General features: G+C 46.5%; 1 protein-coding gene across 32 annotated transcripts in view, besides 9 other annotated features; it reads right to left on the minus strand.

Moving 5' to 3' along the window:
• MACROH2A1 (macroH2A.1 histone) overlaps positions 1 to 21,663 on the minus strand; it is a 65,507-nt gene extending 43,844 nt beyond the window's left edge. For 24 of the 32 annotated variants that reach the window (NR_174493.1, NR_174484.1, NR_174486.1 and 21 more), the window contains exons 1-2: positions 20,838 to 21,007; positions 10,698 to 10,902 (exon numbers count right to left, since the gene is read on the minus strand). Coding sequence is in view for 13 of the 32 variants with exons in the window: in NM_001400404.1 (NP_001387333.1) it covers positions 10,698 to 10,869 (172 nt within the window). In the remaining 19 variants the exon portion in view is untranslated. Of the gene's footprint in view, positions 1 to 10,697; positions 10,903 to 20,837; positions 21,008 to 21,524 lie in introns of those variants that run through there. The other 8 variants (NR_174487.1, NR_174499.1, NR_174496.1 and 5 more) reach the window with 3 other exon arrangements.
• Positions 14,111 to 14,270: an enhancer, noted in NCBI's record as "active region_23170". NCBI's record gives its function as "activates an Ori minimal core promoter by ATAC-STARR-seq in GM12878 lymphoblastoid cells {active_cell/tissue: GM12878}" and the evidence as "EXISTENCE:reporter gene assay evidence [ECO:0000049][PMID:35858748]".
• Positions 17,440 to 17,529: a silencer, noted in NCBI's record as "silent region_16373". NCBI's record gives its function as "represses an Ori minimal core promoter by ATAC-STARR-seq in GM12878 lymphoblastoid cells {active_cell/tissue: GM12878}" and the evidence as "EXISTENCE:reporter gene assay evidence [ECO:0000049][PMID:35858748]".
• Positions 20,343 to 20,402: a silencer, noted in NCBI's record as "silent region_16374". NCBI's record gives its function as "represses an Ori minimal core promoter by ATAC-STARR-seq in GM12878 lymphoblastoid cells {active_cell/tissue: GM12878}" and the evidence as "EXISTENCE:reporter gene assay evidence [ECO:0000049][PMID:35858748]".
• Positions 20,713 to 20,882: a silencer, noted in NCBI's record as "silent region_16375". NCBI's record gives its function as "represses an Ori minimal core promoter by ATAC-STARR-seq in GM12878 lymphoblastoid cells {active_cell/tissue: GM12878}" and the evidence as "EXISTENCE:reporter gene assay evidence [ECO:0000049][PMID:35858748]".
• Positions 20,893 to 21,352: a silencer, noted in NCBI's record as "silent region_16376". NCBI's record gives its function as "represses an Ori minimal core promoter by ATAC-STARR-seq in GM12878 lymphoblastoid cells {active_cell/tissue: GM12878}" and the evidence as "EXISTENCE:reporter gene assay evidence [ECO:0000049][PMID:35858748]".
• Positions 20,893 to 21,758: a biological region, named in NCBI's record as "OCT4-NANOG-H3K27ac hESC enhancer GRCh37_chr5:134735167-134735672".
• Positions 21,253 to 21,758: an enhancer, noted in NCBI's record as "OCT4-NANOG-H3K27ac hESC enhancer chr5:134735167-134735672 (GRCh37/hg19 assembly coordinates)". NCBI's record gives its function as "activates a minimal SCP1, AML or CMV promoter by ChIP-STARR-seq in naive and primed H9 embryonic stem cells {active_cell/tissue: H9 hESC(naive and primed)}" and the evidence as "EXISTENCE:reporter gene assay evidence [ECO:0000049][PMID:30033119]".
• Positions 21,759 to 22,264: an enhancer, noted in NCBI's record as "OCT4-NANOG-H3K27ac hESC enhancer chr5:134735673-134736178 (GRCh37/hg19 assembly coordinates)". NCBI's record gives its function as "activates a minimal SCP1, AML or CMV promoter by ChIP-STARR-seq in naive and primed H9 embryonic stem cells {active_cell/tissue: H9 hESC(naive and primed)}" and the evidence as "EXISTENCE:reporter gene assay evidence [ECO:0000049][PMID:30033119]".
• Positions 25,181 to 25,747: an enhancer, noted in NCBI's record as "OCT4-NANOG hESC enhancer chr5:134739095-134739661 (GRCh37/hg19 assembly coordinates)". NCBI's record gives its function as "activates a minimal SCP1, AML or CMV promoter by ChIP-STARR-seq in naive H9 embryonic stem cells {active_cell/tissue: H9 hESC(naive)}" and the evidence as "EXISTENCE:reporter gene assay evidence [ECO:0000049][PMID:30033119]".

Here is a 26,256-nt window from a genome sequence, read left to right on the forward strand (position 1 = left end):
GCTCTCTGCCCAGTACCTCGCTTGCTCTGCCACTGCTACAGCAGCAGCTCTAACATGCACCAGACCGCCCCTTCCCGGCGGGCCAGCACATGTCACTCCAGGGGACTTCGCCCCTCCTGTGCTCACACCCACCTCCTGCCTGTGCGCTCTAGACTTTCCTCATCCCTGTCCAGGGCTGCCTATCCTTCAAGGCCTATCTTGCAGGACCCCTGTCCTCCCTGCCCATACGAGGCCACAGGAATGTCTCTGGCAATCACCCATGACTGTTGCAGAGTCTGTCCCCTCAGGCTGTGTCTTCATCGAGCCAGCCTTGGGGACCGGGCATTTACCAGTCTTCCTGAGGTGTACGGTGGCTGCTTCAAGACAAAGGAAATGCCAAGTGGATGAAGTGCTCTGGGGTCCAATTCCTCTGACTGCTAAGGTTTCTGTGCTGTGTGATTTTGGAGAAGTTACTTAAACTCTGAACCTCAATTTACTCCTAAGAAAGCTAGGTGGTTTGAGGATTCGATGAATTACCAAATGTAAAGCATTTAATCAGTGCCTAGCACACAGTAACTGTTCAACATACGGCAGATGTTTTGGAACTTAACTGTTCCACCTTTACCTAGAATTCAGAGCACTTCCCCCGAAGTCCCTAAAACTAGTATTACAAGCCACAGTTAGAATATGAACTAGAGACTGCCAGGGCCTGGGGTGGGAGTGAAAGGGCAAGAAAAACAATGCTACTCAAGTTAAGTACCCTCATTTTCTGAATGAACAGCAGATATTGACTTTTAGCAGTCAATACTCAGATTTATAGAGGCAACATAAATGTGAACCAAAGACTACCTCAGCTACTAGTTACCACAAGGAGCATCAATCAGAATATCGATGGCAAGGGAAACCAACACATTAGCCATTTCCAGAGGCCTTGGGTTTGTTTCCACATGGCTCCCACAGCTCTGCAGGGAACGCGCCTTCTATAAAATCCCAGAGTGTCCCCTGTAGGCAGATGGGGTGATGTCAACCCCGTGAGAGGGTATCTCAGCACCAGGCGCTACTATCGGCCTTTAAAGAGCCCAGCACTGGGTGCCAGGGAACCCACATGTTCTAGCCACTAAATGGAAGATGCACTTGCCTAAAAAGGAAGCAGGTGGGGTGGGAAGAGGAGGAAGAAAGGGAGGGATCCAGGGTCAGAGAGTTAGGCTGAGTGGAGCAGCCTGGCAAACCCAAAGAGGTTTTATGTCATCTTCTTGGCAACCAGAACTGGAAGAGGGTGGTGGGAAGAGACGGAGGCTGACAATGATTAATACCCTTTGGGTTTGTCTTCTTGCTAGAGTTTATTTATAGCTCTGAGGAGTGGCTCTTTGCTTTCAGATTTTACTCTGGGTTGACTTGACTAGACATAGAAGCCTTCAGGCAGGAGAAAGCAAGCAGAAACACTGTAAATATGTTCTATCGGTTGCTGGTATTTTAACAGGAAGACAGTGGGAGAAAAGACATTTGTGGAATTCTTACCTTCTTCCTTCTCCTTTCAGTGACAAAGTGTTAATAGCTCTTTTAGAAGCCCGTCCTGATGGTCATCCACGGAGGACACCTGGGATGCTGGGTCCCACTCCTGGGACACTGCTATCTCTAATCAGCTGGGCAGCTCCTGACTTCCTCTGCTTTTCAAGGTATTGCCGAGACCTCCTCTGTGGCTTTTTTTTGGCAGACATGAGGATCAGCCCTTGCTACATTTCTAACGCCCTACTGTTTGCCAGCAACAGCTGCCCTGCTGCATACCTCCCCTCACACAGGTGTGGCCCACTCTGCCCCCGTGTTAATCCTAATCATGTTTCATTTAAAAATCCAGGGGTCTAGTTTAATTTTCATCCTCATCAATTTCCTGGTAGTATCTGACATTACCAATACTCCCTCCCCCTGAAACTCATCATTCCTCTAACTGGTCTTCTTAGCCTTCAATAAAAAACTATTTACCATGTAGCTGCGGAATATCTGGCCTTGTGCTGGGAGCTGTATACAAAGGTGAGGGAGGGGTGGGGAAGGCCTGGGATCACTAATGTGGCTCTGATGTGAGGCACGTCATAGGTACCCTACAAATCTGTGGAAATCAACCGTGATTCTTTTGACCCCAGCACCCCGCTTGGGACTTTGCACCTAACTCTTTCATTAATCAATCATTCCAAACGAATTACTAAACAAGTGAACCAAGCACTGCAGTGGTCAGTGGTGATTAAGGATGGCAGTGAAGGAAGGTTCTCCAACGCCCAGGCCTAGTTTCATGTTTTAGAACACACACTTGGGTTCCGTAGCAGGCAGCATGAACTATAAAGCTATCATCCCAGGGAGCGCAGCCTCAGGCTGGGCCCAGGATCCAGGCAGGCCTCAACTCACAGTCCCATGTCAGCCTCGAGGTTAGCTGAGGGGTCTAGGGGTGTTGAGGGATTAAGGGCAGATCAAAGATCCTCATATTCTCCCAAGATCTTGGCCCAAATATAAATAAGACAGCCTCTGCATACTACATGTGCCCATTATCCTTTTGATTTCCTGTATTTTTGCATTTTATTTTCTAGATTTATTTTTAAATAAAAAGGGAAAAGATTAAAGAGATATATAACATATATAAGAACTAGTAACATGGATTATCTCCTGGGAAGAGAACTGAAAATGCAAAAGAGCCCAAAGGGCAATGCATGTCTCACTGTATATCCTTTGACAGCATGTGGATTTTACCATTGGTGTTATTACTTATTAGAGAAAAGAAGTTCAACAAAAGTAAAAAGACAAAGACCTACTGGATATGGGAAATAAGTATACAACAAGACAAACAGATAAAGCAGAAAATAAAAGTCCAGAAATAGCACTAATTGTATCTAGAAATTTCATGTCTGATAAAGGTGGCATCTCAGATCACCAGGAAAAAGATGAAATATTCAATTGTGTTTGGATAACTGGATAACCATGTGAAATAAAATTAACTTGATCTCTATCTCCCACCATATCACATGGTAAATTCCAAATAGGTCAAAGTATAAATGTGAAAAAATATAAAAATATTGAGCAAAAGCATGAAGAGAAGTCTTTATAGTTTTGGAAGGAGGTAGGCTTTCCTAACAATGATTCAAAATTCAGCAGAAATAGATGCAAAGACTCCATATATTAGAATTATTTAAATAATGAATATAAAATAATCATGTGAAATATATTTAAATAAAACTTAAAATGAAGAGAAAAAAAGATGATAAAGAATGGCCAAGCATTAGCCAGGCACAGTGGCATGCACCTATAGTCTCAGCTACTCAGGAGGCTGAGGTGGGAGGCTCACTTGAGCCCAGAAGACAGAGGCTGCAGTGAGCCATGATCATGCCAGTGCACTCCAGCCTGGACAACAGAGTGAGATCCTATTTCAAAAAAAAGGCCAAGCAGATTCAAAAAAGAATGAAATAGGACTTCTATAAATGAAAATATGACTGAAATTTAAAATTCAGTGACTGAATCTGTTTAATACAGCAGATTAGATACAGCTGGAGAAAGAGTAAACACGAAGATAGTTCTAGAAGACAGATGAAAAGTAAATATCCAGAAAGTAGTCCAGAAAGACATGAATTAACAACATGACTGAGATTAACAGATACAGAAGACAGAGTAAAATACTAACGTATGCTTAATCTGTGTTCCATAAGAAGTGACTAGTATAAACTGTTTGAAGAAATGATGGCTGAAAACTTTATAGATGTGACAGACATGTTCAAAAACCGAAGTGGAGGACACTTATCACCAAAAGACCCTCAATAAATAAAATTCTAGAGGATATACTTCAATAAGAAGTAAATAGATCCCAAATGGAAGGTCTAGATGAAAAGAAGGCACACTTAGTTTTGGTCACACCTTTTTCCTTGCCTGATTCCAGAAACAGGTTTTGTGGTGCTGTGTGCTTGTCTGTTGGCCCAAGCAAAAGAAGAACCCTTCATATGGAACTTGTCTACCAGAAACAGGTTTTGTGGTGTTGTGTGCTTGTCCGTTGGCCCAAGCAAAAGCAGAACCCTCCACGTGGAACTTGTCTACCTATCTGCAGACCCTGATGGTAAAAATAACAGTTGCATTTTGCCCTTCAAAGTGATATCATGAGACAGCAGTGACACTCCTTTGACTTTTGAAGATTTCCAGGCACCATGGCTTATCTTCAAGATAGCAATGAGATTTTCAACAAATGGTGCTAGAACAACTAGACATCCACATGCAAAAAAGCCAAGTCTAGACACAGGCTTTACAAGCTTTACAAAAATTAACTCAAAATGGATCATAGACCTAAATGTAGAATGCAAACCCATAAAAATCCTAGATAACATAGGAGAAAATCTAGATGACTTCAGGTTTGGCAGTAACTTCCTGGACACAACACCAAGGGTACAATCTATACCATAAATAATTACTAAGCTGGTCTTTATGAAAATCAAGCATTTCTACTCTGTAAAGGACATTGTTAGGGGAATGAGAAGACAAGCCACAGATTGGAAGAAAATATTTGCATCAAGAAGCAATGAGGTCTTTCCCCTCTCAGATCCAAGTATTATAGTCTGACCGCTGGCCTTGGGAGAGCAGAGGAAAATGGGCCCATTGCTTCACAAAGTAGGCCCAGATCATGTTTACGCTCTCCTGAACAATTTCATGGACTCTTTAGGAGGACCATGAAGAACCAGATAAAAACTGTTTTTGAGCTCTACAGCTGGATTCACATGCCCTGGGAGAAGCATGTTATCAAGCTATGCTGCACCTTCACGTCTTGGGTAAGATAGAGAAGTACTGGTGGAATTCCACCTCCTGGTGGCTTCCAGGCTCTAGTCTCAAACCCTGAGGCCTGACCCACTTGGGTCTGTTAACTTGCTGGCCATATAATACCACATCATCAGGGAAATGTCAAAGGCACATAGTGTTGAACTGATTCTTTTTCAAATGCTCAGTGAATGTTTATCCACCATGGAATCATCTATTCCCCAGGGAGACTGAAGGAAGCTTGGTAACTTAGATTATGTGGGGAGCACCTCCTAAAGTACTTCACAATTTGCTTTGTAAGAGTATGCACTGTGATGTTTCTGTGACTGGCCGTCAATGAAGGTCATCAATAGCGTATGTTAATAACAACAAATAATTAGACTAAGGTCTGTCTTTTACACATACACAAAAGGCATTAAGTGTCAGCTGCTAAATCTGGGTAGTGGGATTATGAATGAGTTTTAGTTTCTCAATTTTCAAACAAATTACTCACATAACCAGAAAAGGGAACATGCACTTAAATATAGTCTGCACACTGTGAGTACCCACTGGAGTTTCAACTTCAGTGTTTTTTCTCTAGCTGTAAGCCCCTGGCTCCTTTCCCGTGTGATTAAGATAAAATTCTTAATTTTAATTTAAGAATTCAGATAAAATTCTTTAAGAATTCTTTAAGAATTAAGATAAAATTCTTAATTGTCCCTTTCCTGTGTGATGTGGTGTGGTGTGTGTGTGTGTGTGTGTGTGTGTGTGTGTGTGTGTGTGTGTGTTTTAATTTTAGGAAAACAGGGTGAGGGAAGGGCTTTGCAGAACACAGCAAATGCTGTGGCATAAGCCCCAGTGCAGCATGAGTGCCCAAGAAGGTACTAGCAAGCATTAGCTGGGTTCTGGCCTGAAGCGTCAGTTAGTCTAAGGGAGGTGCACTCATGCAAACAAGCAAGGATGTGGGAGCTCCTAGAGCCTTGGAGCATCAAAGAGCCAAGCCTGACTGTCCTCTTCTTCCTGCTCTATTTTTAGCTGTCTGAGTCCAGGACACATTTGAGTGTCCCGGATAGGAAGGTGGTAAAGAGATTTGGGACTTATTTTCAAGGTAAGTGACAGAACCAACTGCAGGCTCTGCCTACCTCAATCTTCCAAGCTTGTAGGATTCCATCCCACATCAGAAATGCCAAGTGAGGTGGATGCTGGCTGAAATGAGTATCAGTGTAACAGGATGTGCTGCTGACAGGAACAGGCTCTCTCTACCCACTTCTAGGAGATGGAGGCAGGGATGGGTTGTGGCCCTATGACTACCACCAAAGGGATATGCAACATCTGACCTGAGTTAGAGACTGGAAGTCAAACAAGCTGAAACTTGGGATGAGGACAATCACTTTGTTAGCCAAAACCAGATGGCAAACAAGATGTATTTCTAACAACCGTCCCTTTTCCTTGGGGTTTTATTTCAGGATATAGTCAAGCCCAATGGCTGGGCCTCATCCAGTCTGTAAAGTGGATAAAGATCACTCATGGGACCCTGCTTCTTCCCCAGGTCAGGAGCTGGCTCCATAAACTGCACAAGGATTGGCCAAGTACCAACAGGCAGCTTCAAATTGGGACATCTGCTATCAGAGGATGCTGGGTGCCTTTTGGAGGAGTGTGAAGGCTCTGGTCATTGACAAGAGACAGGAAAAAGAACAAGATTACTGGAGACTCCCTTCCTCTCTCATACTTTAACCCTAATGTTAATAGTTAACATCTGGGCACTTACAATGTCCAGGCATGGAATAAGGACTTCACATGCATGCTCTCACATCAGCCTCATAAGAACCTGATGAGACAGTTACTGTGATCCTCATTTCACGGAGTATAAAACTATAGCATGGAGATGTGAGTGACTTGCCTAAGCCACAAGTAAGAAGTGGCAACTCTGGCACCAATGCCCATACTCTAAACCACCCAGCTCTAGAACACAGTGGACCCCAAGTGGTCCCCAGAGCTGGTCACCAAGGAGATGCCAGTTCCCTGCTTCAGAAGCACCTAGTCCTAGGTTGGCACTGCAGCTCAGCAGTCCTCTTAGCAATCCCTGGGCATCCAGACCCCTCCCATCTCTCCCACAGGGGCCTTTGGAAGGCAGAGGGCCTGGCCCAGCTACTTCAAATGGGCCTCCATGTGGCACATCCCATCACCATGCCTGCAATTGTCATGCCAGGTGTTGGGCTTGACTACATGCCACCTCTAAGAGTCTGGGCCATGCAGAGAAGAAAACAATCCCTTCTTAGGAACTTCAGTGACACCTAAACAAGCAGGGCAGCTCTGGTAACTGGTTAACAAGCATTCTCCAGAAAGCATTTCCTGACACCCACTTGCAGTCCTGTCTCCCCCCTTGCAGCACAGGTGGTCCTGCATCACCACAGCTTTTCTCTTGCCTATACCTGTTTCTGGACAGGAAGCCCTTTGGGGGTGGGGATGGGTTGGTGTGTAGCTGTGCAAGGGACATCACAGCTCTCAGCAAGGAGAGCTTGAGTGGGTGGGACTTCCCTCAGATGTCTGCCTAGTGTTGGAGCACAATGTCGGGGTCACATCCTTGACCAGACCCTAAGCTGCTTGAAGGCTGGTACTCCAGTTTCTCCCTCTCTCTGTAGCTTCCCCATGTTCTGGGAAGGGGCTGGCCTGGCACCCAGCAGGCGCATCAAGACAGATAAGTGGTTGGCAGATCCCCTTTCCCAGTTCTTGTGGGGCTGGCTGGCACCTCTCCAGGGCTCAGCTGATTTCTCCTCCTCAGAGAAGCCTTCCCTGGCCAGCTCATCTCCAAGCCCCCAAGCAGCCTGGGCCCTCGTTTGGCCTGCTTTTACTCCTTGCAACACTTTCAGTCTCTAAACTATCTAGGTTGGCTGGCTGTCTTTTCCAGACAAGAGTGTGAGCTCCATGAAGCAGAGGCCACTCTGCCCTGATCACTCCTGCACTCTCACACAGAGCCTAGCACGGTGCCTGGCAGACAGCATGTGGAGTGAATGAGAAAAGGCCTTTAGGGAAACAAAAGTGAAGAGGAGAGCAGAAAGAGGGCCTGGACACACTTCCTTCTCACTCAAGGGCCAAAAAACAAAGTTCTAAGTGGGTCACCCAGAATGTCTAAGTTAGACCCAGAATGTCTAACATCCACGTGCTCCCACATCCCTGCCCAATCGGCTAAGGGCTGGTCACCTTCTGAGGACAGTCAGTGTGGGTGTGTGGCACTGTTCTGAGGGGTGGAACAGAGCAGCATTCTCACTAGACATGGCCCCAGAGTCTGGCTCCTCTCCCATCACAAAACAGGACATAAGTAACCACAGCAGTGACTGGGCATGCATTAACTGCTCAGAACATCCTCCTAAGGTCAATTGGGCCTGGTTCCATGTTAGGGGCAGGCATGGTCATGCCAATGACTCAGTGCCGCATGCAGGCAGAGGAAATGCTTCAGATTCAGCCAACTATAGCCCTGCTGTAAGGTCTTCATAAAATTTAAAAATACATATTATTATTTAATATACAAGAGCTGATGTGGCTGATGCCAGAGTAAGGATCTGCTCTGAGCTACTTTTCCAGTGATAGTGATGGGCTCTCCTGGCCAGTCCTATGCCCTGCTGTGACCTCTCCTACACACCCACAATAGCTGGGGATAGGGATGATGGATGTGTGAGCCACTGAGTCAACGTCTCTAGCCCCCATGGGAATGGACTGCTGATATCCACCTCAGGAGCACTGGGCTCAGATTCAGAACCAGCTATGCCCAGACCAGGAAAACACAGATTTCTATGCAGCACCGGTAGTAGTTGCCTGAGATATGACAAAGCAATGGTATTCCCCATTCATGCCCTTCAAAAAAGAAGAGAAAGCTAGATGGAAGAAATGACACTGAGGTTGTACTTGACCTAATGATGGTGTCTGTGAACACCCCAGGAATGGGCATCATGGCATTCGCGAGCCAGGGGCTGCCTGGGTTTGTGTAGCACATTAGCTTTCCCATTATGTGCACAGCACCTTTGGCCTTCACAGCAGCCTGGAGTTGGAGTAGGGACAGTTGACTCCATTTGAGTTGTAAGGAAATTGGGGTCCAGGGAAGTTAGGTGGCTTCCTCTAGGTCACAGAGCACGTACACTAACTAGGCAAGAACTAAAATGTCTTCTGTTTCCTATCTAGCAACTTCTCCCAGTCTCCCTGGATGACTGCCAATGCTATACATAGCTTTCCTGGGTGTGTCACCTAAGTTCTGGGCTTGTTTCCTCATCTACACAGAAGAATCATGCTTAGTTCACATTACCAGGCCTGCCACCTATAAGAGTCTTTGCTAAGCAGAAAGTCAGAAGTCCCAAAATATGTACAAATACTTAAATCTAACACTATTACTTTTCATGCCCAGATGCTTTCAACAGAACACAAAAACTTTACCTTCCTGATGACTGTGTTTGCTATGGGGAAACCCTCGGCCTTGCCTTACTGAGAGAGCAGGGAGTGCAGGAAGCAACCCAGCCCTTCCGCTGCCTGGTTGTATCGCTTTGGGAGAGGTACCCTGTCTTACTGAGTCGTCCTTTCTGGCTGTAGCACAGGTGGCTGCAAGAATCAGAGTACTCTTTCCTGATCAGACCCACCTGATCATGTCTCAGGCAATACACAGTGAAAGCATTACGACAGGACAGCAGGATTTGGGTCCCTTCTCAACCCCTTGCAGGCTGTATATAACCCCAGACAAGTCCTTTATGCTTTGAGGCCTGGCTTTCTCATCACTAAAAATGGGGTTAGTCTCCCTCCCTTCCCAGCTGGCCTTGCACAATTGCTGTGAAACCACAAATAAGATTGTATCTGTGAACAGGACCAAGGACCCCTTGGAGAGAAGGCTGAGTCCCAGACTGGGGCAAGGGAAGTCCAGGGTAAGGCTGGAATACCTTATTGTGTTAGAAGGCAAGGAAATGTACAGAAACTGATGGAGACATGGCAAAAGGATATCAGAACCAGCTTGAAGATCAAATTTGAGGTGATGTGACCATTAAAGCGAGTAATGAAATGAATATAACTTACTAAATTTTAAAAAATCTGTAAACCAACATTGATACTTCAAAAAAAAAAAAAAAAACAGAGGAAGGGCACAGGGAAAGGTTTTATTACAAAAGAATGCCAACTAAGAGATGCAGAAATAAATTTTTTAAATCACTATTTTATAACCACCAAGAAATGAAAAAACCCACTATTTTATAACCACCACTGTAATATCAAATTCAGGTAAGATCATCAAGGGTTGCTGAAGCCACTGGGTGAAATACCGTGGTACAGGATGTGCAAAAATCCAACAGATACCACCTTAACTGAATGAGCAAGCAGAACATCTCCAGTGACGGGACAAACCACGTCAGGTGCCTCCCGACGTGATGCACAGAGAAGGATGCAGCATCTCTGATGCCATTCTCCTAAGAAAATGCTCATCCTGAATCTAATCCTGAAACCAACCCAGATTGGAGGACATTCTGCCAAACAACTAGCCTGGACTCTTCAAAAGTATCAATGTCATGGAAGATTTTTTAAAAGCTGGCAAACTGTTCAAAATTAAATAAGACTAACAAACTGGCAGTCAAATGCAATATATGATCCTGAAATGGATCCTGGATTAGGAAAGAAAACCAAACAAAATTATAAAGTACATTATTGGGACAGCTGAGGAAATTTCAAAATGGACTATGTAACAGCCAAAAATAAATACAGAAATATCTACACATATGCCTGCATGCACACACACAATGAGGGGAGATAAGGCAGATGAGGCAAGATGTTAACAACTAGAGAATCTAGGTGAAAATGTTCCTTGTACTCTTCTTGTAACTTTTCTGTAGGTTTGAGCTGTTTCAAAATAAAAGAAACAAAAGTGGTCTTTGGAGAACTATGAGAACTTCTGCATCTTAAGCCAGTGGTGTCTGGGTTGACTGAGGTACACTCACCTGTCAGGTATTCCAGGACGGCGGCCATGTACACGGGTGCCCCCACTCCAATCCTGTACTTGGGGTGGCCTTTCTTGATGTACCGCAGCATCCGCCCCACGGGAAAGATGACTCCTGCTTTGGCAGACCTGGACGTCTTGGTGGACTTCTTCTTCCCACCGCGGCTCGACATGGCGGTGGCCCTGGAGGCGGATCAGTGAGCACACTGTGAAGGCGAGAGGCACACCGGTCAGGGTGGCTGGGGACAGCACATGTCCCCTTTCCAGGTACACTCTAGTCCCCTGGAAGGCCCCAGGCCTGCCTGCAGATGCCACTGTCTGTAGCTGCAGGGCCCTCCGGGTCCAGGTGATGCACTCCGCTGGAGCAGTTTGATCCCTGAAAAGAAAGGCTTGGCTTTGCACAATTTATACCATGACATCAATTTTACTTAAGTGCCTTGCCATTATGCCACATGATGAAAAAGGAAATGGGATTTCTTGGCCACATTCTATACACTTGTTTAATAATTGCATTTTCATACACTTGAGACTGGGGCTGATAAACTTACCAAAGGCTTCATAAAAGAAAAACAGCTATGACACCCTCCCCTAAAAAGATGATGTAAAGGCAGATACCTAGATTCTCTGATGAAAGCAGTGTCTCTATTTTAGATTCTTTATCTGTGAGAGGCAAGAACAGCTTACAGGAGTCAGTACAGTGTATAGTCAGGTTGCAGTAAGAGGCCCTCTGAGCACTTCTAGTCCACCAGATGGGCCAATCTTTAGAGAAGAGAGAGAGAGGTGTTTTTTCCTTCCTTGCTCCCAATCCCCATCCAGTCACCCAGTCCAGAGGAAAACCCTCCTCTACACCTCTTGTGGGGCTCTTTCTCTCCACCTCCAGTGATGGGATCCTGGTCATCACTATTTTAATCAAGTGGTCACAAATGTCTCCTGAAAAGGTCTCCCTACCAGAGCCCCCTCTCCTCTAATCCACCCTCTACCCCATGGGTGGGGCAATCTGGGTACACACCCACCTGAACATGCCCCGGCCCTGGCCTGAAAGCTTTCTGTGGCTGCCACAATTCTCATGATAGAACCAGGACTCTTGGCCTGCCATGTAATGCCCTAGAAATCTAGGCCTGGCACACATGTCCAGCTTTGCCTTGGGCCACCTGTGGTCTAAACTAGCAAACAGGGAGCCACACAAGGTTCCCCCCAAATACCCTTCCACTTCTTTTCTCCCTGCCTGGGCAGTAGCTGTTCCCTTTGGCTGGGACCTCCATTATCTCTCACACTTGCCTCTGCCTTCTGCCAGCCCTCCCAAATGTTGAGATCTGGCTGTTTCATCCTCAGGGCCCCATGTGCTGCACACCACAGCATTGATGCACGTGTGCCCATTCTCCCATCAGACTGCAGGTGGGTGGAGGGGTGCCCCTAACTGTATTCCTACTGTAGCACCATCCAAGGTCTCGAATGTTTACTTGGAGCATCCTGTTCATTTATGCATTCACTTCAGGTATTATGCTGGGCAGATGTGGTCCCTGTGGAACTGGTGGGGAAAAAGACAATAAATAACCCCCTAGTCATTTAAAAGATAAACGTAATGCATGCTTCAAAGGGCCAGTGCAGGGTGCTGGGAGAGGGGATATGAGGGGCCTTGGCCTGTTCTGGGGCCCCCTAAAGTCTTCCCTATGAACATGTTTGCTCACTGAACCAACTGGGCAGGTCTCCCATGTACTGATAAACTGACGTCACACTCCATGGTGTTTGGGGCCTTCCAGCACCAGCAGTCAATGCTGTGACCACTGGAGGCCACAGGGATAGGAGTCCCTGTTACTCTGATGCTCAACCTATACTAGGGACATTGTCAGGACATGCCACGGTCCACACTTAACACCTCTCTAATCCCAGGTGCATCTCAAATCATCTGGGATGAGCCACAGAGATGGCTGTGAGGACAGAAAACAGAATTCTGGGCACTCTGGGGCTACTGTGTAGACAGGCCCAACAGAGGTAAGATGGCAGAGGCCCTGGCTCTGGAGTGATGTTAGAAGAGTAAAGGCCTCTGTCATGAGCGCCCTGTCAAGGAGCACCCAGTCTTAACTGCTCACTGAGGGCTAGAGAGACCCAGAAGGGTCTGGGTTTTTCCAAAACAATTAGTTGGATCCCTTCCTTGCTGCAATGAACTCCATTTTAAAACATTCCTTGCAAAAAGGTGCCTGTGCTCACTCTGAGCAGGAAATGATATGTGTATATGTATGTGTGCCTGTGTTTTCAGGCAAGGCTGTCATTGGGTTTCCTAGCAGTCTTTTGCTTTACTACAAATGTGTTTCACAGACCAACAACCTGATGCCTTTGGACTGAGCTTTTAAATCGGAATGTCTCCCCCTTTCAGCAGGGGAGGCCTGTGGTCAGTGATGATTAACAGCAGCTCAGCCCTTTTCCTACTAGAGCACAGACTTCAGCTTTGTTTCCCAGCTGACCTGCTGGGCATGTCTGGGGCTGCCTATGTGGGAACTGGACAGTGGTCTCCTCCAGAAAGGATCCGTTAGCACTCAGAGACCTGGCAGGTCCTAGACACGCTGACTCCTTAAAAGTGGTGCTCCTTGTCTTTCCCTCCTCTGACTCTAGCTGAGTCTTTACATCAACATGCCAGTGACTCCCAGGTCTCTATGCCAGTGCAACACCTGGCCGCTGAGCCTCAGAGCTCTGTTCTGACTGCTGATGGCAAGGGCCCACTTACAAGTCCCATGGGTGCCTTGAACTCCTCTGGGTCTCTCAGCCTCATCAGTGGCAATGTCATGCACCAAACTAGCCAAACAGCAGTGAACCTGGCCCAGACTTCTCTGTCCACCCCACAGCACCCAAGCATTAGCCAAGCTCTGCTGAACCGCCTGCAGAACCTCTCAGGCCTCTTCTCATCACCCTCCCTGCGTTGGTTCAGCCTCTTTACTTCTGACCTATTCTCAACCGCACCAGTCTTCATCCATGGACACCAGAAGCAGCTCTGCCTACTCTGATGATTCCCTGTCAGCCTGAGCTTCTGAGCTAGCCACAAACAGCATACTTCAGCTACTTTTGGTGGCACTGCTTCCTGTCACCCCAGCCCTGGCTCACATGCCTCAGGCCACCCCTGACTTCTTGAGCCTGTCACACTGTGTTAAGGATGTCTCTGAACACGCAGTTCTCCTGCCTGGAATGCCCTTTGTCCTCTTGTCAACTTGCTGAACTGACACTCACAGCCTCCCTCTGCCATGGAGGCTTTGTGGACATGACCACAGCCTGGAATTGCTCACTGCTCCATGTTCCCATAGTATATATATCCCAGCACATGCCTCTCCAACTTGACTGAACTGCAAGCCATTCGATGTGAAGCACTGTAGTCAACTCATCCCAAGAAAGGTCTGAAATATCACAGCTCCTCCAGTGCCACCCTGCTGGCAGAAGAACATCTTCACTTCTCATTCTGAGTCAGGCTCCTGTCCAATAAAGCGGCCTCAAGTCTGTCTCCCCACCAATGGGGTTGTCTTGCAGAGATTCTGTACTTTATCCCTCCCCATGTTCTTCCTGCACTTCTAACTATAGTTCCCCAAGCTGCAGCCACAGCTATGAAAGAATTCTGACTAAGCCATGAAGCCTTATGACATCCAGCAATGTGTGGTGGTTTTCAAAACACCCTTTTGAAAACCAACTCATAGTTGTGCAGTCTCCAGATAAACCCATGAATGTGCCAGGTCCATCCTGCTCTTCAGAGGTTTATGCAGGTGTGGGTAGCTCCAGTCAGGCACCCATGACAAGGGGGAGAGTGACTGTGAGGCCAATGGCAATTAAGCATTATAATTAAAAACTAGAAGTCCAAAGCCAGACTGACCTGATTATAACCATGGCTCTGCCGCTTACTGGCTGTGCATTTTTGAGCAAGTGATTTAACCCCTCTGAACCTATTTTCTTATCTTTCAAGTGGAGATGATGCTAGTAAGGGCCTCAAAGAGTTGGTGGCAGAAGTGAATCAAAGCATCCATGTAAGGGCCTGATACTCACTCACTGGGCAAGTTCTCAGTAGTTAACAAAAACAATAATGTGAATAAGATGAAAAAAGGCCATCTTCTTGCAGAACAGATCTTGGACATTTGCGCTGAAGACATTGCTAGCTGCTGTAACAGATAAGTCTCTACAACTTATTTCTCACTCCCGAAAAATCCAAAATGGGTTTCCATGATTGGCTGGTGTTTCTTGTCCACATAGTGATTCATGGATCCAGATGCCTCCCATCTTGTTACTCTCACATCTTCAATACATGATTCCCAGGGTTGCCATGGAAAGAAAAAGACCATGGATAATAACCTATGAGGGTTTTAAGGGGCCAGGCCTGCAAATGGGGCACATCACTTCTGACCATGATCCATCAACTAGAACTTAGTCACATGCCCACAACTAATTGCAAGAGAGGTTGGGAAATGTACTCTGGCTATTTACTCAGAAGAAAAGAGGAAACAGCCAGTCTCTGTCACATGATAAACCAATCTGAACGCTGACCCTAACCCCAGAATGAGTTACCACCCAAAACCTGTTGGGCCCTGTTTGACCCATGTTCTGCATCCAGCCTTGTTTGAGAAACAGACAGCCCTACATCATAGACAAAGCAGCTTCCTAAGCACTCATCACCTCTGCAGGGCAGTGAAGCTGGTCACAGGAGAACAGCTATACTATCTGGTCAAACTTGACAAAGATGTGTTCTTCCTTCCTTCAGTAAACCAGGAGGCTTCACTCATGGCTCTGCATGCTTTGAAAACAATGATAGGTCCTCAGGCAACTGTGTCTGTTCATCATTGCACATTAGCTTGACTGCCCTTTTGGCTGTTATTGGCCTAGAAAATGAAGGTTCTGTGATTGATCTTGAAGGGATCTCTGTGGTCTTTATTTCTGCAACTCTTCCAATTATAAATCACAATAAACATTAACTTTGTTTATAAAACCTCAAAGCTTACCCAAAGACAAACTTTTATAGAGGAGCTGGATGGAGAGATGAGTCAGGCTACAGTGAGAAGCAACAGAGTCTGACCACAGGCCCCTCAGCAATCGAGATGCGACTGGAGCAACGCAGTCAGTTCTTTTAGCACAGGACTAATTAGAAGGCTGGCTATGTAGACCCCATGAATAAGGTGGACATGAGAACAACAAGCTGTGTACTACTAGGAGGGGCAGTAGGGGCAAAGAACCAAAGTGCCATGGAGGCCCTGCCACACCCTCCTATCCCTTCCCAGCAGGCATCCTAACAGGCTGCTCCCTGCACTGCAAACCACCTTCATTCCCACTGGCACCTTCAGCACACCCAGCATGCTCAGTCTGAACATCTCTCTAGCCCTTTGTCTGGAGTAATCCTGCCTACTGGTCCCAATACCTTCCCTGGCAATGATCCATCAATGTGCTCCCTCTTCTGCATTCCTGCCATGGCCATGCCTTCTGTCAGTCACAGTCTAGTTTGGGGCAGCTGCATGTCCAGACTCCAACCTTGTGCACAGGCCCTGTTGACCTCCAACACATCTCTCTATTTGCAACAACCAGAGATCCACCGGGATGAATTTCTCCCTCCCAGTTCCCTCAATGGATGTGGCAGCTGCAGACCCAGGGCCCAGCTAAAAGTGCCTCACAATCTCCCTCAGGCTGCCCCTATTCTTTAATATACTCAATTATTTTTCTTAGTCTTATATACAGTACTCTGCAAATGCAGTTTCCAGCCCTTCCTTCCATCATGATTGCCAGTCACTCTAGATCCCATTTACATATAAGTTCTGAAACCAGCTATCCCATTCTTAGCACTCAGTGCATGGTATCATCATTGCCTATTTACCTGTCTGTCTTGATGAAACGAACCAATTTGCTCTACTCACCACTGTATCTCCAAGCACCCACCACCCTGCCTGGCACCCGGTAGACATGCACATGCCAGCTACAAGGTAGCTGATTAGTTGGCACTGACAGTGGATAGGGAGAAAGGAGAGGGCAGCATTTCCAAAGCCCACAGGACTGGGAGCTATGGCTAGTGGGACACCAATCAGAGACCTTCTCTTGGACATTCATGTACATACACCTGGCAAAATCCCTATAGGAGCCCAGACACTCAAAATTCAGGGAGCTTGTAGAGCTACCTTGGGGATTCTCAGGAAAGGAACACTCCAATTGCCCTGATAGCTGGGCATAAGGCACACTGAGGCCTTATGACTCTGTGACAGTTCTATGGTTCCAGTGACCTCTCCTCCTGCCTCTGGCTCAGTACCATAGACTGCAGGAAAATACTTAACCTTCCTCACATCTATAAGAGATTGACTCCTGTTTAAGCTACAGCACAGAAACCCCTTAAACAATCAGGGCACTCATGAAACCGCTGGAATAGTCAATCATGAAGTATTTTATTATCTAAGCAATGAATACATGCCTATTGATCCCATGCAATATTGATTAGAACTGCTGGGGAGTTGCTAGTCAAAGAGCCCTATCTCCAGCCCCTGAGGATAGAGGAGTCTGAGCTATCAGTGCTCAAATAACTGCTGATGAGGAAGAACCACGCCATCCATTCTGGCAGCTGGATAAATGCCCGCATATCCACATGCATTTGTCACCTTCCCATCAACTCCAATCACAAAGGCCAACCTGAGAAACTTAATTCTGAAGGACAAGACACTAATCCTGTTTACAGCATTCTCTTCCCTCTTCCGTTTACTCCTATCACACCAAATGATTAACGGTGTCACCCGCTGTCATGTCCCCAGAGGCATGTGGATATACTAGACAACCATTGCTCACAGAGCTGGGGTTCACAAGCTGCACTCTGATTGGCTTGGATCAGAGACCTGTTCTAGTATTCTAGCCAATCAGGAAAAATATCTCTCTCCATTCATAAAACACCATATCAAAAAGTGAGCCAGATGATTAAAGAACCTACAGTCCACTCTCAGTGAACTAGGGGACTGCAAACAGAAGAGACAGACCAACTGAGATAGTAAATAAATCATAAACCATGCATTTTGTTCCAGCAGATGTGTCTTACTCCTGTTATGTTTTCAGTGGCAGGAAGAAACAAAACACAAACACAAATGTCATTTACCACAAGCAAGAAACAGTTTTGGGGAAGCTAGTCTGGGATTGAAATTTCACCTCTGCAAACCCATTCGGTGATGCGCTTCCCGAGATGCACTGAAGGAACTGTGCAGCTTGCTACATTTTAACAGCAAGTTACTGCCTGCCTGCTTTACAAAAAAACTTTTCTACATACTCCTCTCTCTTTTAAAGGTTGTGCCAAACTCTTAAGATAACCAGTCTCACGGAAGGCTATTTAGAGAAAAGTTAAAGTGTGGGCTTCACAGGACAGGACTCTGATAAGGCTTAGCATGTAGAATCCACTCATTATTTGCCGAGTAGACGTGTTCCCAATAAGAATAAAAAGAACACCTGATCCTGTCTCTCTCCTGCTCAAAACCCTTCAGTTGCTCTTAGGATAAAGTGTGGGTCTGACCAGAATCCTTTGTGATTTGTCCTGTTTGTCCCTCCCTGAAGCCTCACCTGACTCCGCACCAGGACTCAGCCATCCCGAGCCTCTGGCAGTTCCCCACATGACCTCTGTTCTTTTCTTCTAAGATGCACACATGGGGTTCCCCAGGCCTCAAACACTTGTCCCCATCTGCCCTCCTTTGCCCAGCCATCTCCTGCTTGACCTTTCCAAGCCAGATAAGGGCTCACTCCTGGCTAGGTTACTGTACCTGCTGGGGGGCTACGTGGGGCCTTTTGCACTGATTTTACAACAGCTACTTGCCTGCCTTCTCCCAAAGTCAGCTCCCCCAAGGTAGGGGCTAGGCATTTCTTAATCACGGCTGTGTCCCCAGTGCCTGAACAGGAGCTGATTCTCAGGAAATCTTTATGGAAAGACTCTGAGACACTGACCTGACAGGTTTGGTCCAAGCAAACAAGCTATACAACTCTTTGGAATGAAGAGTTGACTCACTCAGGCTCACTTGTAAGCACTGAGGCAGGGCCCAAAAGACCTCTAAACCTACAGAATATGGGAAGGACCCACAGAGATCTGGGCCCCAATCACTCCTGCCCCTTCCCAGCCCATGTTCTAGGAATGGGGCTCTGAAAAGGCTGTCACAAATCCTTGGGGACACTCAAATAAAACCAGAGGCTGTTGCAGTTCTGATGAACAACACATATAGAGTCTTGTTGGGTTCTTCGGCTTGAGGTTTTCAGTTTATGCTTTTATTTAAATAAATCTCCTTTAGGTGACTTGGGGCCGCATTAGCTCTGAAGGCAGGTCCCAGAACACATGCCCTCTGAGCTTCTCAGTGGGGAAGGAATGCGAGGCGCTCCTCAAGTTCGCCTCTCTCAGGGACCAGAAGAAACATCAGATGGAGATGTGTCACTCCCTGACACTGGCCCATTTGGTAAAAACTAAACCAGTGGCATGGTTGTATACTAGAATGTCACATGTGAAGTTCCAGACAATTCTTAAAGTTTAATAAAATGTGAGTTAAATTATGCCTCCTTCTAAAGGCCTGCCTCAAACAATTTTCATTTAGACAACCCTCTTAATGCCTTATCTAGGGATCAGCATTAACAATGGTGACAGATCGAAGCCAAAGAACAGACTGGAAAGATTTCTCTCTCCTTGTAAAACTAGAAGGGGGAAGAATTTGAAGTCTTTCAAGAGTTTTGTTGTGTTTAAGAAAAAATAAGTTTGAAAACATACTCATCCTCATCAGAGAGTCTCTTGTGCAAGACTGAGATGCTGCTGCCCAACTCTAGTTAAATGTGTACAATGGGTATTAATTCCAGTTGCAGGCAAGAGGTGTCCATTTCAGAGTTAACACCTCTGACAACAGGCTAGTAGCCTAAAGGTGGCCTGCAGTAGGTGAATTCCACCTAATTTACAACTCGAGTCTCCCATTCAAACCTAAGACTGTTAAAAAATGCCCGACTCCCTGGAGCAGGGAGCTTTGGAACAAAACACTTCCCTTACCCCCTACTTTAACGGTAAAACCTCAAACCACAAAGGTGGAAGAAAAGAGGGAAGCTAGCAGGAGTGCCCCCTCTAATTGTCTATTCTTATGTGCTGTTTACTGGGTCATTAAAATCTTACAAGGCCTTTATAGTCATTGTAATTGTTGAATTCAAGGTTTGTCCCAGTTGTTTGTACAGAAGTCTCTCACTTTGAAACTCAGAAACATTTCCCCTAACATCTTGTCTAAAAGAACCTTTCAAGCAATGTACTGACCAACTCCTTGAGTGATCTGTGGCCCCTGCAGGAGTGGGGGTAGGGAGCGCCATGTCGCACACCTGTTGTCAGGTGACACTGCCAGCAGCATCCTGCACACTCACCTCCCCACTCCACCCCACCCCCAGCGAGGCTCTTTCCTGCTGGCCTTCTCCACCCGGGGAAGCCTACAGCCTTCCGGAGTTACCTTTTAAAAAAAGCAAACCCTTCCTACCACAAAGCAAACAAAAGGCTGATACCGAGACAATCGGGAGCAGCGGGGGTTCCCGTGGCCCCTCTCCAGCCCATCCTTGGACCACTCCCCAACCCGGTCCCCCGCACCAGCCCGGCTTCAATCCCGCGAGTAGCCCCCGCCTTCCCCTCCCTGCAGATAGCGAGCCAGACGCCTACACCTCGGCCCCCCGGGGCTCGGGCCCGACTTATTGTGCCGGGGCCGGCAACTCGCGGGCCGGCGGGGGCCTCACCAAGTACAACTCTGCTCACAGCAGCTCCCGGGTGCCCAGGCCCAGACTGCCTAGCCAGCGCCGCGGGGCCTCCTGCGGCCTCGGGCCTGGCCCGTGAGCCCGCCCCAGGAAGGGTCGCCAGGGTAGGCGCCAGCACCGCTTTTTTCCCACAAAAGCGCCCAGGCGCGGGCAGGGGGATGCGTTTCGAAGAGAAGTTGGTTTCCAGGTTTCTTTTTTGAACAAAACCAAAGGGAATCCCGCGCGGCCCGACAAGGCCTGGGAGGACGTAGTGCACGCGCGAGGACCCGGCGTGGGCCACACCGAACCCGGCGGCCCGAGCCCGGCCCGCACCACACCGGTGCGCGCCAGGCCGGGCCGCTCCCGGGCACCCGCGGCCGGACCCGAGCGGCGGGGACAGGGAGTGCGGCAAGGGGGCCCGCGCGGCACTTACGCGGCGGCTCGGTGGCGGCGGCGGCAGCTGCAAGGTGTCTCGGCCTGAGCCCTCCTGGCCGCTCGCGCCTTTTCTCTCCGCGCTCCTCGCTGGCCCGCCCGCCTCTTCGCTTCCCGCCCGCGCGGCCCGCGCTCTCCCCCTCCGCCCGGCGCCGCTGCCGAGTGAACTGGAACCAGTCCTCGCGGCCGGCTTCCCACAATGCACAGCGCGCCGCTCGTCACATCCCTTCGCGGCCCCGAGCGTCCGGCCTCCGCGCCCGTGCCGCCCGGCGCCCCGGCCTTGACCCCGGGCCCGCGCCCTACCCGTTGACGCCGGCCGCTCTGCGCCCAGGCACCAGCCCGCACCCCGGACGCGAGGTCTGACCCATGACCCCGGGGACGCCCAGAGCCCAGTCCTTGGGAAGGGCCAGGCCCCTGGAGAGGAGCTTCTTCAGGGCGCGTCCCAGACTCTGCGTCTCGAGTGAACGCCTACTGTGTGCCTGGCTCTGAGCACGGGACTGTCGCTGCCACGGCATCTTTAGGAACCTTCCCACTAACCCAGTGGGAAGGCACAATGGCTGTTACCAGCGATCGCTCTTCCCTCCCCAGTCAATGCCAACTCCCCCCTGCCCCGCCTCAGAGACCCCGCTGTCTTTAGATACAGGCCACCGCCAAGCCCTGGTCTGCCCCAAGATCAATTACTGCGCACCCGGTTCCCCTGGGGTCCTTCAGTTAATCCTCCTCACCCCGAAGTCTGGAACCTGCCTTGCACATGGAAGCGGTTAGCTACTTCGCTTCAGCAAAAGTTCACTTTCGGACCCAAGTTGGGAATTACTAATGTAGACAGTGATTCCTTATCATCACACACGTTTTTTAAAAACTGCGGACAGGCCGAAAGAGGAGGAGCCGCCACAAAGCCCGCCACGTCTTCCTAAATTGGTTTACCGCCTGAAGGCATTGGTGCCCCATCCCGGGTACTTAAATGGGGGCCTGCCCTCTACTCCCCTCCCTCCAAAGTGTGGAGCCGGAAGCCACTTCTCCATCCAGCTGTGAACTAAATTTGGATAATAATACACATCCCTCAGGGTTGATGTGAAGTTTAAAGTGCCGCTACTGGGGATTATGGAGGTAATTAGAGACCCCCACCCCCACCCCCCAGTCCTCAGGCTGCGCGGGAATCGCAGCGGCAGTAACCTCCACCTCACCGGGATGCTTTACACCTTACTTTAAGAGTTTGCAAAACAATGTCCAATACCTGCCATTCATGCATTCGTTAATTCGATTAAGTACTGAGAACGTATTTTGTGTCATACATCGATTTGGGTGCTGGATATGAAACAGCCAAGAGAACAGGCAGAAATCTCTGCCCTCCTGTAGTTTGCAGTCTCGTGGGGGAAAGACAGACAAACGGGAGAATGTGTCAGAGGGTCTCCATGGGGTGGAGAAAAATAAGGCGGAGAAGGGGAATAGGAAGTGTGAGATAAGAGTGAGGCTCAAATACAAGAGAAGGCCTCTATGAGAAAGTAACATTTAAAGCCTGAAGAAATTGAGGGAGCAAGCCGTGTGGATGTCTGGGGAAGAACTGCGCCGAGCATGAGGAATAGCAAGTGCAAAGGCTGGGGTAGGAGTGTGTCCAAAATAGTCAAGACAGAGCGAGTGTGAGGTTGGAGTAGAATGGGTGAAGGGGAAAGTAACAGGAGATGAAGCTGGAAAAATGATGATGCTTATGATGCTTCTGGTCCCAAAACAAAGCATTATGGTTCTATGAGGATCTCCCGAAGAAAAGATGTCAGGAAAGGTGCAGAGACCCTCCCCCACACACCACATTGTTGTTCCATCCTTCTCTGTGCCTTTGGGCAAGGACTCTCCGTTCTGTAGGGACCACCAGGTGGAATTAAAGTCTACACTCCTCCAAGAGCTGATCTTGGGGCGGCCCCACCTCCATGCCCCTCTACAGCGTGCCATTCTCATAGAACACACTAGGACCTTTGTCCTCTGGAGCTGTTCAGTGCAGCAGCTCTGACCTCATCCTTCTCCAGAAGCCTCCACCTTCTCTCCCCTCTCTCCTCCTGCGCTTTGTGTGTCCTGTTCTTCCACTTCGGTGACCTGTCTCCTCCCCTAATCTGGCTCAGAGAGGGGTACCAGCTGCTGCTGCTGCTATTGCTTCTTCTTCTGTTAAAGGTTTTTTATTTTTTTCCAATGACAAAGCTATGCTCATTCTGAAAACATGAAAAATAAAAATGCTCAAAAAATAAAACTCACTCTACATTCATTGCTAGGAGAGAACAGCCTGCTCCCATTCCAGCCTTTTTATCTATATCCACTTAACATTAAACATACAGAGTTTCTACTCTATTTAGTGATTGTCACCTGCACTTTAAACTTAATGGTTCTTTATGAGCATTTTACTGGGTAGTTGTTCTACAATAACATTACTGGAACTGTTTGGGTTTCCCTTGACCCTCTTAAAAATTACTGAGAACCCTGAAGAGCTTTTGTTTTATAGGTTACATCTATCAATATTTGCTTTATTAGAAATAAAAACTGAGAAAAAGTAAATATTTATTAATTTATTTTAAAAATGTTAACATGGAAAGAAATTATATTACATAAATAATGTATTTTAGAAAAATAATTATACTTTCCAAACAAAAATAATTAGTGGGAAGAGTGGCATTGTTTTACAGTTTTGCACGGCTCTTGAATGTCTGGTGTAATAGAAGATAGCTGGTTTCATGCCTCCTCCTGCATTCAGTCGGTCACTATATGTTGTTTTGTTTGAAGTATGTGAAGAAAATTCAGCCTTATGTAGATATGTATATGGGAAAGAATAGAGGATTTTAATCGCCTTTTCAGATAATTACAGATGTTCTTTTTTCATACCACACCAAAATGCAAGGAGTCGTTTCTTAAAGGTTAAGTGCAATGTAGAACCTGAAAAAAAAAATCAATAAACTTTTGAACTCAGTTAATACATTAAAATCCATTGGCCTATTTTATATCTTGACTGGGTCCTTTAGCTATGCATAATTTGGTAAAATCATACATTGATCATTTGGGAAATATCAGTTCACTGATTTATACGGATCTTACAAATGTAAACACATTTCATTGTACAATATTAGAAAATCACATCTATTAATAGCACCACTGATCTCATCTGAAGGTTTTTGAGTATTGGGAAGTTGTCAAGCTCTTGGTGGCAGATACGAGTTTCCCAAAATTGTAATTTCTGCTTGAAAGCTCAAGTTTATCACTGACAACATAATGTCACAGTGATTTTCCTAGAAATGACAGGTTCATTTCATTCATTTTCAAGAAAATGTCTACCACAAACAAAGGACCACATTATGACTTTCATGGGCCATAGGCATTTTTGCCTGCATGGGCCCTTTCCTCCACTAAAAAGACAACTGCACTGGTATAAAGACAAATAAATTAATATTGTATATTAAAACTGTGCCTCGTGGAGTATTCAGCCCTACGTACACCCAATTCTGAATACCCATAGTTTGTCTGTCAGGTGTAGCTTCTCCATTAGAAACAGTACTCAGGCCCCCAGGACTTTATGGGCCCACGAAAATGTCTTAATTTCTTTTAAAATCAGAAGAAAATGAAAGTTAGTTCTTTTATATTGAAGAAAATATTTTAATATATAATGTTAATATATTTGTCTTTCTACGAACACGGTTGTAAAATTTTTTTTCTATTGTTTTATAGAAGAAGGGACTCATGAAGGTAAAAGTGCCTAGGGCCATGAAAGTGTAATGCAGCCTTGCTGTCAGCCCTTGTTTCAAGAAAAGCTAGTGTTCCATGAGAAAAGCAGCTAGTTTAACTCACAGCTCAATTGCACACGTGCTTCTCCTCAAGATGACCATCCTAGTAGAAATGCTGTATGCGTACTTCCCATTTGGTCACGTGGAATATTTTAAAATGTGTTCCAAAGGGTCAGATTTAATAAAATTAATGCTTTTTACTGTTTCATCAGGACATTCTTAAGTTAAACTGGCTCTCTTTTTTTTTTTTTTTTTTTTTTTTTGGCTGTGAGTGCTTCATAATAAATAATAAAATGATGATGAGTATGGGATGATGCCATTGCTGATTTGTGGTAAGTCGCCAGCAGTTTTATCCACTACTGTTCTTGCACCATTTGTGCAAAGATCAACACAGGGAAAAGTCAAATAATGTCTTAATGTTAACATGAAAATAGTTGTGACTTTTTGTACCTCCAGGAAGGGTCTCAGTGACCTTCGGGGGACTGCAGACTACATTTTGAGAACTACTGCTTCACAATATCCACAAGCTTGGCCATCGTTAATTTAACCAACTCCTTATTTTTTCTTCTTTCAGGCTGTTTCCAACTCTATTATAAAGATGTTATGAATATTTTTAAAGATTGGCCAGGCGCAGTGGCCCACGCCTATTACCCCAGCACTCTGTCAGGCCAAGGTGGGCAAATCCCTTGAGGTCAGGAGTTTGAGACCAGCCTGGCTAACATGGTGAAACCCCATCTCTACTAAAAATACAAAAATTAGCTGGGCGTGGTATGCGGGCCTGTAACTGCATCTAGTCAGGAAGCTGAGGCAGTTAATGCCCTTGTTTAAGATAAGTACAGGTGAGTAGTTACCCTTAATGAGGAATAACAAAGGGGCCATGGGAAACCATCCTAGAGAGTTTGTAGGAAGGAAGAGGACTGTATTACCTCTTTTCATGCCTAGAGGCATCTCTGAATTTAAATATTTTTTCCCCTGAGGTTAGAACTGGATTGAAAATACAGGTTGAAGGATTTAGGATACCTGTAGAGCAGTGAAAATGTGCTCTGCAGACCACAATGGGGTCCCTGAGACCCTTTCAAGTGATCTGTGACCAAAACTATTTTCATAATAATATGAAAGCCTCATTTGCCTTTTTCACTGTGTTGACATCTGCACTGATGACACAAAAGCATTGTTGGGTAAATAGCTGGAGGCTTAGCATGAGTCAAGGCAGTGGCCCCAAACTGTACTAGCAGCCATAGAATTCTTCACCTCATCTCACACACACACACACACACACACACACACACACACACACACACACCACAGAAAGAGAGTGTTAGTTTCACTTAAGAACTGAGAATGTCCTTAATGAAACAAATTTTTTAAAATTTAAAAGCTTGTATCTGCTACCATGAACTTGACAGCTTCCCAATACTTTTCTGATGAGATTGGTGATAGTGTTAACTAATATGACTTTTTGATGTTGTATTTTAAAATCAGTCAACATTTGGAAAATCTGCATAAGTTAGCTAGCCAATATTTTTCAAATGACCCATGTAAGATGTCACAAAATTATGCATAGGTAAAAAGATCCATTCAAAGTGCAAGATAAACCGATGGATTTAATGTCACAGAGTATGAAAAGTTAGTGATGTTTTCAGATTCTACATAACTACTAACCTT

Source organism: Homo sapiens, chromosome 5 (assembly GCF_000001405.40).
Source record: "Homo sapiens chromosome 5, GRCh38.p14 Primary Assembly".
Taxonomy (NCBI): Eukaryota; Metazoa; Chordata; class Mammalia; order Primates; family Hominidae; genus Homo; species Homo sapiens.